The sequence below is a fragment of the Homo sapiens genome, chromosome 14 (assembly GCF_000001405.40).
Source record: "Homo sapiens chromosome 14, GRCh38.p14 Primary Assembly".
NCBI classification, from domain to species: Eukaryota; Metazoa; Chordata; class Mammalia; order Primates; family Hominidae; genus Homo; species Homo sapiens.
Window position 1 is genome coordinate 31,138,247 of NC_000014.9, and position 13,490 is coordinate 31,151,736.

General features: G+C 36.4%; 1 protein-coding gene and 1 pseudogene across 22 annotated transcripts in view; one reads left to right on the plus strand and one right to left on the minus strand.

The window, feature by feature from the left end:
* HECTD1 (HECT domain E3 ubiquitin protein ligase 1) overlaps nt 1-13,490 on the minus strand; it is a 107,677-nt gene that overhangs the window by 38,130 nt on the left and 56,057 nt on the right. For all 22 annotated transcript variants that reach the window (XR_001750215.3, XM_017021153.2, XM_047431208.1 and 19 more), the window contains 7 exons: nt 11,753-11,975; nt 10,651-10,914; nt 10,475-10,551; nt 6,561-6,695; nt 5,865-6,011; nt 3,612-3,706; nt 1,646-1,751 (listed from right to left, as the gene is read on the minus strand). Coding sequence is in view for 21 of the 22 variants with exons in the window: in XM_017021153.2 (XP_016876642.1) it covers nt 1,646-1,751; nt 3,612-3,706; nt 5,865-6,011; nt 6,561-6,695; nt 10,475-10,551; nt 10,651-10,914; nt 11,753-11,975 (1,047 nt within the window). In the remaining variant the exon portion in view is untranslated. The remainder of the gene's footprint in view (nt 1-1,645; nt 1,752-3,611; nt 3,707-5,864; nt 6,012-6,560; nt 6,696-10,474; nt 10,552-10,650; nt 10,915-11,752; nt 11,976-13,490) is intronic.
* RNU6-541P (RNA, U6 small nuclear 541, pseudogene) lies at nt 4,693-4,802 on the plus strand (annotated as a pseudogene).

A 13,490-nucleotide genomic window follows, 5' to 3' on the forward strand; every position in this document is an offset into this window, starting at 1 on the left:
CTAATAAACTTTAAAAGATGCAAAATAGTTTTTAATCCAATACATTTTAGTAAGCAACAAGCACAGGACTAGCAATTTTAGGTAGATTCATTTCTGTATAAATCTTAACTAATTCCTATAAAAACAATTAAAGATTTATATGTGCATTTCGGTAGTTTTAGACAGCAAAATTACCAGAGAGCACATTCCTGGCCTTCCTCTCTTTGGATCTTGCACAATCTCCTGAAGTGAAAAATGCATAATAAAAGGCATCGGTGCACTGTCTTTGAGACTTATCTCCAACTCATCCACTTACCAGGAATAAAGCTTAAAAACAATGGACCAAACAGTCCCCATTACTCCTGTTATTCTGTCTGAAACAAAACACAAAGTAGCCCTCCACATCTTTTACATATAGAATATCAGGTGCAACTACTGCACTGTAAAACTCCCTAAATAAGTACTCTAGTTTGGGAGTCTAGTGGCACTGATAACAGTATTGGGTTCTCAGAGGTATGGCAAGTTTTGTTAGCTTTGCATTGCTTTGGCATATATAGATCCTCAATCACTCATTAAAGGCTATTATTCAAAAGAAACTATTCCATGCAGTAGAATGCAGAACAGTTTAGATAAAGGCAAAATTCAAAGCAGAAGGCCTTGCTAGGAAACACTAAAAAACCCACAAAAAAAGTGATAAAGTTCTGGGCTAGGACATTAGTAAAATGTATTGTTTGTTTGCATCTAGATCCCAGCTACTAAAGAAAAGAATAATTGAATGAATGAGAATGTAAATAGGAAGTTACATATTATATACAGATATATATATATATATATCTGTATGGGGAGGAGGAGGGAAGGAAAAGAGGCTATGAAACCATGTGATTGATAGGAATAGTGAAGACTTGGGCAATCTGACTCTAACCACTGACATAAAGACCCGAAAAAAATTGTGCTTAAAATATCTTGACTTTTTTTCTTATGTTTACAATATAGTGATAAGGAAGGGACTTGCCATGGTCTGAATGTTTGTGTCCCCGCAAAATTCATGTGTTAAAACTTAATCCCCAGTGCAGTGGTGTTGGATGGTGGAACTTCTGGGGGGGCTCTGCCCTCATGAATGGGATTAGTGTCCTTATAAAAGAGGCCTGAGAGATCTTGTTCATCCCTTCTACAATGTGAGAACACAGTTAGAAGGTTCCATCTAAGAGGAATAGGCCCTCACGAGACACCAAATCTGCTAGCACCTTGATCTTGGACTTCCCAGCCACCAGAATTGTGAGCAATGAATTTCTGTTTATTAAGTTCGCAGGAATTTTGTTACAGCAGCCCAAATGGACTAAGACAGAACTGACTCATAATTGTAGAATAAGAGGAACCCTTTTCTCAGCTTTTTCCACTGATACCTTTTGCCACTTATGATCTACGAAATATAATGCTTTTAACAAATATTAAATGAATGCATCATTTTCCAGTGATTTGATCAAACAAAACAGACTTCAAGTCATTAAGATCAATCAAATGGCATATAAGCTAAAATCTTTAAAGATTAAGTAGAATCATTTTTATTTTAATCCGATGTGAAAGAAAATAATTTTTTTTAAAGAAAAGTGTCACACTGTTCCTAGATGCATTCAGCAATACTAGCTACTACATTTTTTATGGTTACCTGGAGGTTATATGTGGATCCTGGTGTATCATACAAATGGAGAGGTAGACGTTCAATAGATTCTAGTACAGCTATTAACTTTCGAATTAACGCAACTGCTGGTCGACTGCGAAGAAATAATTATTATTAAGAGGTTTTGTATAACTACATGTAAATGTTCATGCAGAAAATATGGTAATCAACTTCAATATATACCCCTACTTTTTCATGACTACAGTTTAATTTTTGTATTAGATTATGTCTGAGTAGAAATACTCTCACAACTCAATTTCCTTTACTTAAGAATAAAACATTTCATTTTTCTAATAAAAACTTAATTATATTTAAAGCAGATGTATGATTTATTTTTAAAGTTTAAATAATTTTACTGGATAATATTTGATAAATAAAAAAGAATATAAAGCAACAAAGTTTTGAAAAAATATTTGATGGCTAGGGTATCACAACATATACTTTCTCATTATTAGTGTAAACTGCAATGACACTTCCGGAAAACAATGTGAAAATTTGAATCAAGAACTTTCAAAAATCGTCTTGCAGAGCTGGGCAAGGTGGTATATGCTGGAGTCCCAGCTACAAGGGAAGCTGAGAAAAGAGAATTGCTTGAGCCCAGGAGTTTAAGGCTGTAGTGCAAAATTCTGGCACCCGTAAATAGCCACTGGACTCCAGCCTCAGCAACACAGCAAGACTCCATCTCTTAAAAAAAAAAGAAATCATCTATAACCTATAACACAGTATTACCACTTACGGAATTTATGTAAAAAGATGCTTCCATTGAGACTAGTATATTTAAGTATTAGTAATAGTTTGCAAAGAGCTAAAACACAGTAATACTTCAAAACATTATACATCCATAAAGATATAATATGCATTCATTAAAAATGAAATTTGAAATTAACACAATTATCTGAATAAATTGTATAACTTGTTATTTGACAAGTGCAATCCCATTCAAATGTACACAGAATAATATAATGAACCTTTATCAACCCAGCTTTAGCAATTAGCTACTAATGGCCAATCTCCATCCAGGTTTTTTTCTTTTTTTTTTTTTGTTATAGAGTCTCACTCTGTCACCTAGGCTGGAGTACGGTGGCTCAATCTCAGCTCACTGCAACTTCTGCCTCCAGGGTTCAAGGGATTCTCCTGCCTCAGCCTCCCGAGTAGCTGGGATTAAAGACGCCCACCACCAGGCCCAACTAACTTTTGTATTTTTAGTAGAGATGGGTTTTTGCCATGTTGGCCAGGCTGGTCTCGAACTCCTGACCTGAAGTGATCCACCCACCTCAGCCTCCCAAAGTCCTGGGATTACAGGCGTGAGCCACCGTGCCTGGCCTACTTCTTCTTATATATTTTGAAAAAATACTAAAGAGCTTATCATTTCATCCAGAGATAGTCTTTGTACATAAATCTAACAAAAGAATTATTTTTTAAAAAAAAACAGTATTACACTTTTAAAAAGAACAATTATTACTTAATATTATCAAACATTTCATCAGTGTTCAAATTTTCAACTATCTTAAACAGGCATGTAATTTAAACTAAGTGATCAGGCTAGGAACGGTGGTTCATGCCTATAATCCCAACACGTTGGGCAGCGAAGACAGGAGAAATGCTTGAGCCCAGGAGGTTGAGGCTGCAGTGAGCCAAGATGACATCACTGTACTCCAGCCTGGGCAACAGAGCAAAATCTTGTCTGAATTTACAAAATAATAATTATCATGAATAAGTAAACTAAGTGATCAGCTGCATTCATACCAGACATGTAATTTCAATGTTTCTTTTTATTCCATTAGATTAAAAAAAACTTCAAAAATTTTCCTCTTATTATACATGTATAATATGTTACTTTCTTATTAAGAGTTTCTTTTGTGTGCATAAATGTTACACTAGACTTATTTTAGAGGAAGTATACCAACTGTGTGAACATTACAAACATCAAATTCAAAGAAATTTGAGATTTTACCTTTCATCATCTTCATTTTCACTAAAGGCAGTTTTAAAAACATTTATTCTTTCTACCAGTTGACTACAATCTTGTTTCATATCCAAATCCATGCTCTAAAGAAAACAAAAAGTATAAAGTCCAAAAAAAAATAATTTAAGGATCTTACTGAAATTCATCAAAAACTAAGAGACAAATGTTAACATATTGTTATACAATGATCACTACAATGTGAATAAAATCATTCATCATTTCATGTTTCAATTAAAATTATTTTTAGTATGTGACTAGTAGGCCATGGCTAACATACAAAATTTTTTCCTTCTTCAATGTTATAATATACTCACCAATTATGCTGCAAAATCAGTGTTTCCCCAAGTATACAAGATGGTTTCAGACTATATTAATATAGGAATGAACATTTTCCATTTTAACAGTACTATTTACTTTAATAAGTATTAGGAAAAAACTGGTACATCAAAACTATTTCATAGATTACTAAGTGATATAATGTGATATATCACTATAATAAATGAGAATAAATGCAAATAGTAAAGTTTATGAAGGGACTATGGGACTCATTGAAGTTCCAGTGAATTTTTTTTTTTTTTTTTTGAGACAGAGTCTCGCTCTGTCACCCAGGCTGGAGTACAGTGGTGCTATCTTGGCTCACTGCAACCTCGCCTCCCAGGCTCAAGCAATTCTCCCGCCTCAGAATTACAGAAGAGTAGGTGGGACTACAGGTGCATGCCAACACGCCTGGCTAATTTTGTTTTGTATTTTTAATAGAGATAGGGTTTCACCATGTTGGCCAGGCTGGTCTTGCATTCCTGACCTCAAGTGTTCTGCCCACCTCAGCCTCCTAGAGTGCTAGGATTACAGGCACGAGCCACCGCGCCCAGCCTAAAGTAAATCTTAAGAGTGCATCAGCACATACAATGATTAAGATCAAGAAATCAACTCTGGCCAGGCACAGTGGCTCACACCTGTAATCCCAGCACCTTGGGAGGCCAAGGAAGGCAGATCGCTTGAGCCCAGCCTAGGCATCATGGCGAACACACAGATGCACATACACACATGCACACACACTAAAAAGAACTGAGTAGTCCACGTTTCAGCAGTACATATACCAAAACTGAAATGATACAGAGAAGATTAGTATGGCCCTTGCACAAGGATGACACACAAATTCGTGAAGCATTCCAAATTTTTAAAAATATAATTAATTAATTAATTAAATAAAACTAAGTAGAACTGAAATGAATATAATTCTTTTATTAAAATAAAGGAAAAAAGAGCCAGGTGCAGTGGCTCATGCCTGTAATCCCAGCACTTGGGAGGCAAAGGCGGGCGGGTCACTTGAGGTCAGGAGTGCGAAACCAGCCTGGCCAACATGACAAAACCTCGTCTCTACTAAAAATACAAAAATTAGCCGGGCGTGGTGGCAGGTGCCTGTAATCCCAACTACTCAGGAGGCTAAGGCAGGAGAATCACTTGAGCCCAGGAGGCAGAGGCTGCAGTGAGTCAGGACTGCGCCACTGCACTCAAGCCTGGGCGACAAAGCGAGACTCTGTGTCAAAAATAAATAAATATATAAACAAAGGAAAAAAGTTTTACCACAATAAAGAGACATTCTTAAATCGAAAAAATATATAAGGTTATTAGCAAATATTTATCAAATTTTCACATAAACTTCCTAAACTTTTTTCCTTTTAACTCATCTGTATTTGTTGTAACTTTAAGCAGAATGTGACTCGAGCGCTACATTTCCATCCACAAGACTGAGTCTGAGTTATTTTTGAACAGCTTTATGATATGCTTAGGTAGGCTTATAACTTTGCTCCTCCAAACAACACTTTTCTTTGGAAAACAAGCCCTGTGGAGAGTTCCTTCCATCATAAACTTCCTAAACTTTCATTGTTCACACATTATGCATATAACTTGGGTACTTAAGGTCTACAGACATATTCTATTTTATATAACTTATGTAAAAATCAGAGGAGTGAATAATAACAAATCAAGCTGAAGTGTTTTTAGTCAACAAAACCTTTAGCAAATTATAACTGGGAACTTAGAAATCAAAATAAACAATTATTTAATTCATTTGGCTCAAACTAATCATAAAACCTAAAGGCTGAAGAAATTAGAAATATTAACATCATTCAGCTTTTAAATATTTCTTGACAAAACAAACTAAAAACCACTCTACCGAAGGAGTAACTACAAATAATTTTTAAAACTGTATTTTTGTTCTTTACTACTTGATAAACTTACATTGTTTAACACAGTAAGAAGTGCTTGTACCAAGCCACTGCTACACATTTCATATGGTGAAATTGTGTTTTCATCCTTCAAAAGTACAATTAGGTTTTCTAAAGCTGTCTTCATTAAATCTCTCCAAGTGTTCTCACTCTCAATACACTAAAAGAAAAAAAAATTTAATGAAGGCAATCAAAAACATAAACATAGCTCTTAAAATAACTTATCAGAACATCAATTATCATGACAATAATTTAGATATTAAGCAAAATTAAAAGTTCAAATTATTAACACAAATTATGTCTACCAGAGGTCAGCAAACGTTTTCGTAAAGGGCCCAGTGCAAACAGTTTAGGCTTTGCAGGCCATATAGTCTACATCACAGCTATTCAACCACGCCCCTGTAGCACCAAAGTAGTCATAGACAATATGTAAATGAATAAGCATGGCTATGTGTGATTAAATTATATGGATACCGAAATCTGATTTTCATGTGTCTTGAAATTGTCCTTCTGGTTTGTTTTCAATCATTTAAAAGTATAAAAACCATTCTTACCTCATAAAGCCATACGAAAATGGGGAGCAGGCCAGATTTGGCTCCTGGGCCATAATTTGCTGACCCCCTACTCAATACCCATGACATAAAGGATAGAGGGGAAGACATCAAACTAAAATTCACTACATATCATTAAAATCTAGAGGATGACATACTTGTCTATTTGTATGAAGTTCCCAAGATGACTCTAACTGAGTTGCTATGTTTCTGAGTGTTACCACTACTCCACGAGGCATGCTTTCAACAGCTTTAAAATGGTCATCGTATAAATCTCGAGCCATAGTTCGTACCTACCAAAATAAACACAACAAATGTGAATTTTTACAATTAATAATTTTACCAAATCTTCACTTTTATAGACACTCGTATTTACATATTTCACCACGAAAAGGTACGTATGTACTGTCATTTGGGCACAAATGAGCTCTCGAAGTTACAGTTATTTGAGGAAACAACCTATGTATGTTCTGGGTCTGATGAAATTTAGTACATGATATTATTTAAAAATATATGCTTAAGTAATGTAAATTTAGGATTCACCTAATGCCATTTTAATCCCAAACAAACCCAGCATAACTCTAATGCAACAGAAAAAAACGTATCTCTCTAAACTACTTAATAATACTTTCTATTCTATTTTGGTATGCCCTTCAGAATTAAAAGATGGCAATCATGGATATAAGACAAGTTTGAAGAAACTATCTCTTTATAAAACAGTATTAATAATTAATACTGGTGTGGTGGCTCATGCTTGTAATCCTAGCACTTTGGGAGGCCAAGGCAGGCAGATCACTTGAGGTCAGTCAGGAGTTCAAGACCAGCCTGGCCAACATGGTGAAACCTCGTCTCTACTAAAAATTAAAAATAAAATTAGCTGGGCATGGTTGTGCATGCCTATAGTCCCAGCTACTCAGGAGACTGAGGCGGGACAATCATTTGAACCCGGGAGGTGGAGGCTGCAGTGAGCCAAGATTGTGCCAGTGCCTGGGTGACAGAGCAAGACTTTGCCTCAAAAAATAAAAAAAAATAAATAAATTAGTTAAAATTATTTTTGCCTAAAATATTTTGATGCATACTTGTTTATATATGCAAAAGGATAGCCACCTACTCACTGAGTTGCTACTGATTTCAAATCAAGAAAGTGAAGCAGTAATTTTTAAAATTTTTTTCTTACAATTTCAACTTTTATTTTAGATTCGGGGTACATGTGCAGGTTACATGGGTATACTGTGTGATGTTAAGGTTTGCAATACAAATGATCTCAACACCCAGGTAGTGAGCATAGTACCCAACAGTTCTGGAACCCTTGCCACCCTCACTCCACACCCTCCATAATTTTTTTTTTTTTAATGAGAATACAGGATTGAGACAATGTCCTCACTGATTTTTTTTAGTTTGTGTTATGAAATTTCAGTATCCTGTAGTCTAGATTTGGTTGGTTAATACGACATATTAGATATTCCAAAAAACTCTTGAGGTAGGTGATTTATAGTCAGATTATTCAACGGTTCCATGCTTGCAAATATGAGTATTCATTAAAATTTGTAACCTCAAAATCAATCATTGCAGAGCTTTCACATTCATTGACAGACATGCACAGTGCAGCAATAAATTTAAGGTGCCCAATATGCATGTTCCCAGCAGAATTCAAAAAGGTGACACTCTTTCTTGCTTCAGGTCTCATACTATAAACAAGTGCCCTATTCACAATCTACTTAGTGTCACATATTTTGAATTTTGGGGCTTTTTCTTCCTGATTTCATTGTTTAAAATGGCCCCCAAACATAGTGCTTAAGTGCTATCCAGTGTTTCTAAGCACAAGGAGACTGTGACGTACCTTGCAAGAAAAAAAAAAAAAAAGTGTGTGCTAAAATAAGCTTTGTTCAAGCATAGCAGTGCTGTTGGCCAGTTCAATATTAATAAATCAACAATACATATCAGGCTGGGCGCAGTGGCTTTTGGGAGGCCAAGGCGGGCAGATCACTTGAGGTAGGAGTTTGAGACCAGCCTGGCCAACATGGTGAAACCCCGTCTCTACTAAAAATGCAAAAATGAGCCGGGCATGGTGGCGCGCACCTGTAATCCCAGGTATTTGGGAGGCTGAGGCAGGTGAATCGGTTGAACCTGGAAGGCGGAGGTTGCAGGGAGCTGAGACTGTGCCACTGCCCTCCAACATAGGAAACAGAGTGAGACTCTGTCTCAAAAAACAAAAAACAATACATAGCAAATAAGGTGTCTTTAAACAAAAACATACTAAAAAACAAGGTGAAAAAATGTTGTCACAACAGGCCTTAGGCCTAGAAGAAATCTAACCCAGTATTTCTCCCACAAGCAATGGTTCAGTATTCACAATAACTTTATAAAATGTAACTACTGTTGGCCGGATGTGGTGGCTCATGCCTGTAATCCCACTACTTTGGGAGGCCGAGGCAGGTGGATCACTTGAGGTCAGGAGATGGAGACTATCCTGGCTAACACAGTGAAACCCTGTCTCTACTAAAAATACAAAAAAGTAACTGGGCATGGTGGTACGTGCTTGTAGTCCCAGCTACTCGGAAGGCTGAGGCAGGAGAATCACTTGAACCTGGGGAGGCAGAGGTTGCAGTCAGCCGAGATCGCACCGCTGCACTCCAGTCTGGGTGACAGAGTGAGAATCCATCTCAAAAAAAATAAAAATAAAAATAAATAAATAAAAAAGCTATGTTCTTTCCAAAGTATACCACCTGCAAATATCTTTGGGATAACCTAGCACATTCAAACAGGAAATAAAGATGTGAACATCTTTATATAAAACATCCGCTTCAAATGAAAACCACTATCACAGGACTGGCACAGTGGCAAATGCCTGTAATCCCAGCACTTTGGAAGGCTAAGGAGGGTGGATCACCTGAGGTCAGGAGTTTCAGACCAGCCTGGCCAACATGGTGAAACCCCGTCTCTACTAAAAATACAAAAAATTAGCTGGGCATGGTGGCAGGCACCTGTAATCCCAGCTACTCAGGAGGCTGAGGCAGGAGAATAGCCTGAACCCAGGAGGCAGAGGTTACAGTGAGCTGAGACTGCACCATTCTACAGTTTGGGCATCAAGAGCGAAACCGAGTCTCAAAAAAAACATTACAAGGGTTTCACTAAGTTTGTTTAAAAAAAAAAACAGAAACATCATTATTACAATTTCTCTGGTCAAAGCCATAAAAACACAAGAACTCTCCCCTAATCCTAATCATATACAAGTATTCTTTGCATACTGTATTTAAAAACTATCTTAGAACCAGGCATAGCGCCTGTAGTCCCAGCTACTTGGGAGGCTGAGGCAGGAGGATTACTTGCACTCAGGTATTTTAGACCAGCCTGGACAATACAGAGAGACTGTTTCAAAACAAAGCAAATTAAAAAAATCCTATTTTATATTACCATTATAGGTAAAATAAACATACTAGTCACCAGAAAATGTTGACTCTAACTATGAGATTATCTTACTTTTTTTTAAAAATGAAAAAAAAAATGCAAGAACAATAAACATGGAAATATACTGGCCATATTTTAAAGTAATAATGCAAACCTGATGGAAGCATAAAAAAATTAGTCAATTATGCATCTGCTACTGTATCTTCTTGAAGTAATAATTTCAGCTGAGATGGCCATTAAACTAAGTATCAAAATAATCTGAATTTAGAACCAGGCAGTTAAGTTTGCTGTATCACAAGGTATTAACCCAGATTGTAAAATACAAGTCATTTTCAATCCCACTACAACACTAAAAATATCCTAGTATCATTAATAATCTCAATGAGTTGAATTTTTTTGTGCAATTAATAAGTCAAGTAATTTACATTTTGTTTCATATTAACATCCATTTTGATTCTGTTTTAATGTTGGTATTTAGTATAGGTATAAAAATTATATGTAAATAAATATTTAAGAAAACACAGAAAATAGAAAAACTAAAAATATATTATATTAGGGCTGCTTATGTTCTATGGCTCAATTTTTTTCAGTGCTTATACTTTACCACTGAAAATTTAACAAATCAGTATAAAAGACAAGAATAAAGCACATCCAACAGATATACCTTTTGCTTTGTTTTTTCTAACTTAGATTTCAGTTTTCTGCCTCTTTTGCCAGTCCAGCCAGTCACAAATTCTGAACCTTGGGGGGAAAAAAAAGAATATTCACAGAGCTTACTTTGTTACAATTTAACATATTCATTTATTTGTACCCAATAAACTTACATATCTACATACTTACCCAGGGAAGTTTCTGCAGTAAATGAATGTTTGGTTCCTCTATTAGATTCAAATACAAAACCAGGTAAATCTTCTTTCAATATTGTAGCTTGCTGACCATCTGAATTATGAATAGCAATTTCTCCTTCTTTCAAACATGTCAGTGACCAATTTCCTACAGTAAGTTTAGTGGGTCCTGGTGCTGACAGTATAGGTTGACTTGAAGTAGATGGCTTTACTTGGCCTCGAGCTCTTTGTAACTTCTCTAAGAATTCACTTCGGCTTTCTATAAAGACAAAATACTTGTTTCAAAATCTTATTTCTTTCAAGTATGACATGTATTTTCTCTTAGGAAAAAAAGACCTATTAAAATATAAATTTTAAACAATAAAACTAAATTAGAAACTGGAAATATTAGCCAGGCATGGTGGTACGCATCTGTAGTCCCAGCTACTTGGGAAGCTAAGGCGAGATGATCACTTGAGCTCACGAGTTTGAGGCTGCCATGAGCTATGATCACACCACCGCTCTCTAGCCTGGGAGACAGAGTAAGACACTGTCTCCAAAACAAAAAAAAAAAAAAAAAAAGGAGCTATATTTGTAAAGATATTTTTTAAAAAGTAGATACAGTGTTGTTCCTTGTCCCATGCAGTAAAAAGACATTTAGGAAATATTTTCATGGTATAATAATTTTTCTCTACTGATACAAAAGAAATTGATATTAAAAAATAAAGAAACAAATATTTTTGTTTCTACAGTGGCTCACACCTGTAACTCCAGCACGTTGGGAGGCCGAGGTAGGGGGATCACCTGAGGTCAGGAGTTCGAGACTAGCCTGACCAACAAGGTGAAACCCCATCTCTACTAAAAATAGAAAAATAAGCCGGGCATGGTGACAGGTGCCTGTAGTCCCAGCTACTCAGGAGAGTGAGACAGGAGAACTGCTTGAACCTGAGAGGTGGAGGTTGCAGTGAGCCGAGATCGCACCACTGCACTCCAGCCTGGGTGACAGAGTGAGACTCCGTCTCAAAAAAATAAAATACCTTGACAATGGTAGCAAAAATATGAGAAAAAAACCAAACTGTAGAAACTAGGAAAATATTTTAATTGAAACAAAATATTACCTGAACTGTCAGATCCACCTTCCGGACTACCACTTGAATACATGGTGGCAAGTTTTCCATCCAAGATAAATCTGAACCATCCATTACTGCCATTAGATAATTCCAAGGCTGCTGCATCACTCCAAATATATAAGCAGTCCCTTCCCCTAATGATTGACCAGTCTCTCCAATGATATGGTTTACCTTGTTGCAATTCTTTAGCATCTTCCTGTGGTTCATCTTCCTAAATGTGTAGAATTATTCAATTAAACATGGAAAATAATTTCAATTTCAAATATTCATACATATTTTAAAAACATGAATCTAATTTAATTTCAAATTTAAATACTCTGAACATAATACTCAATTGCCTGTAGCTTAATCTTTTTCCCCCCTTTTAGAAACATGGTCTCAACTCTGTCATCCAGGCTGGTGTGCAATAGTGTCATCATAGCTTACTGCAGCCTCTAACTCCTGGCCTCAGGCAATCCTTCCACCTCAACCTCCCAAGTAGCTGGGATTACAGGTCCAAGCCACGGCACCTGGCTCTCAATTCTGACTAATTAATTACCTATAACTAAATCTTACAAATAAGTGTTAAAAATATTAAGAAATTCATGTAAATAATGACCTATATTATATCATGTCCAGGTGTAGTGGGGTAAAGACTAATGGATTAGAGCACTACACACAACAACATAATAACCTAAAACCTTGGTGAACTCATTACATCTCTGGGCCTATTTGTAAACAATGATGATTTAGAGAGGCTCAATGGTATCCAAAGTGAAGTGTGTAACAGAATCACCAAAGAAGCTTTTTAAAGATAAATTTTGGCTGACAGTGATGGCTCATGCCTATAACCCCAACACTTTGGGAGGCCAAGGCAGGAGGAGTGCTTAGGCCATGAGTTCAAGATCAGCCTGGGCAACGTAGCGAGTCTGTCTCCACAAAAAAAAAAATTAAAAATTAGCTGAGGGTGGTAGTGCGCACCTGTAGTCCTAGCTACTGGAGAAGTTGAAGCACGAAGACTGCCTGGGCCCTGGAATTTGAGGTTATAGTGAAGGACTGTGCCACAGAACTCCAGCCTGGGTAACAGATCGGGACTCTGTCTCTATTATCTATATCTATCTATCTATCTATCTATCTAGATAATAAAGACACTATCTATAATCTCTATATAGATAATAGAGACAGGGTCTCACTCTATAATAATAGAGACATTATCTACAACCTCTATAAAGATAATAGAGACAGTGTCTCTCTATAAATATATATATTTATAATTTATATATAATATATATTATCTATTATAAGTAAATAAAATTCATTCATTCATTCCAAGACCCCACCCTTAGCCAAGTGAATCAAATATACTCATTCCCATGATCATACAAGTATTTTAGTTAGAGCTTTTTTTTTTTTTTTTTTTTGAGACAGAGTCTCGCTCTGTCACCCAGGCTGGAGTGCAGTGGCACAATCTCCACTTACTGCAAGCTCCACCTCCCGGGTTCACGCCATTCTCCTGCCTCAGCCTCCCAAGTAGCTGGGACTACAGGGGCCCGCCACTACGCCGGACTAATTTTTTGTATTTTTAGTAGAGATGGTGTTTCACTGTGTTAGCCAGGATGGTCTCTATCTTCTGACCTCACGATCTGCCCTCCTCCATCTCAAAGTGCTGGGATTACAGGCATGAGCCACCGCGCCTGACTCAGCATGTTTTTTTTTTTAAAAAAAATGTATAAACATTTTGTAGCTC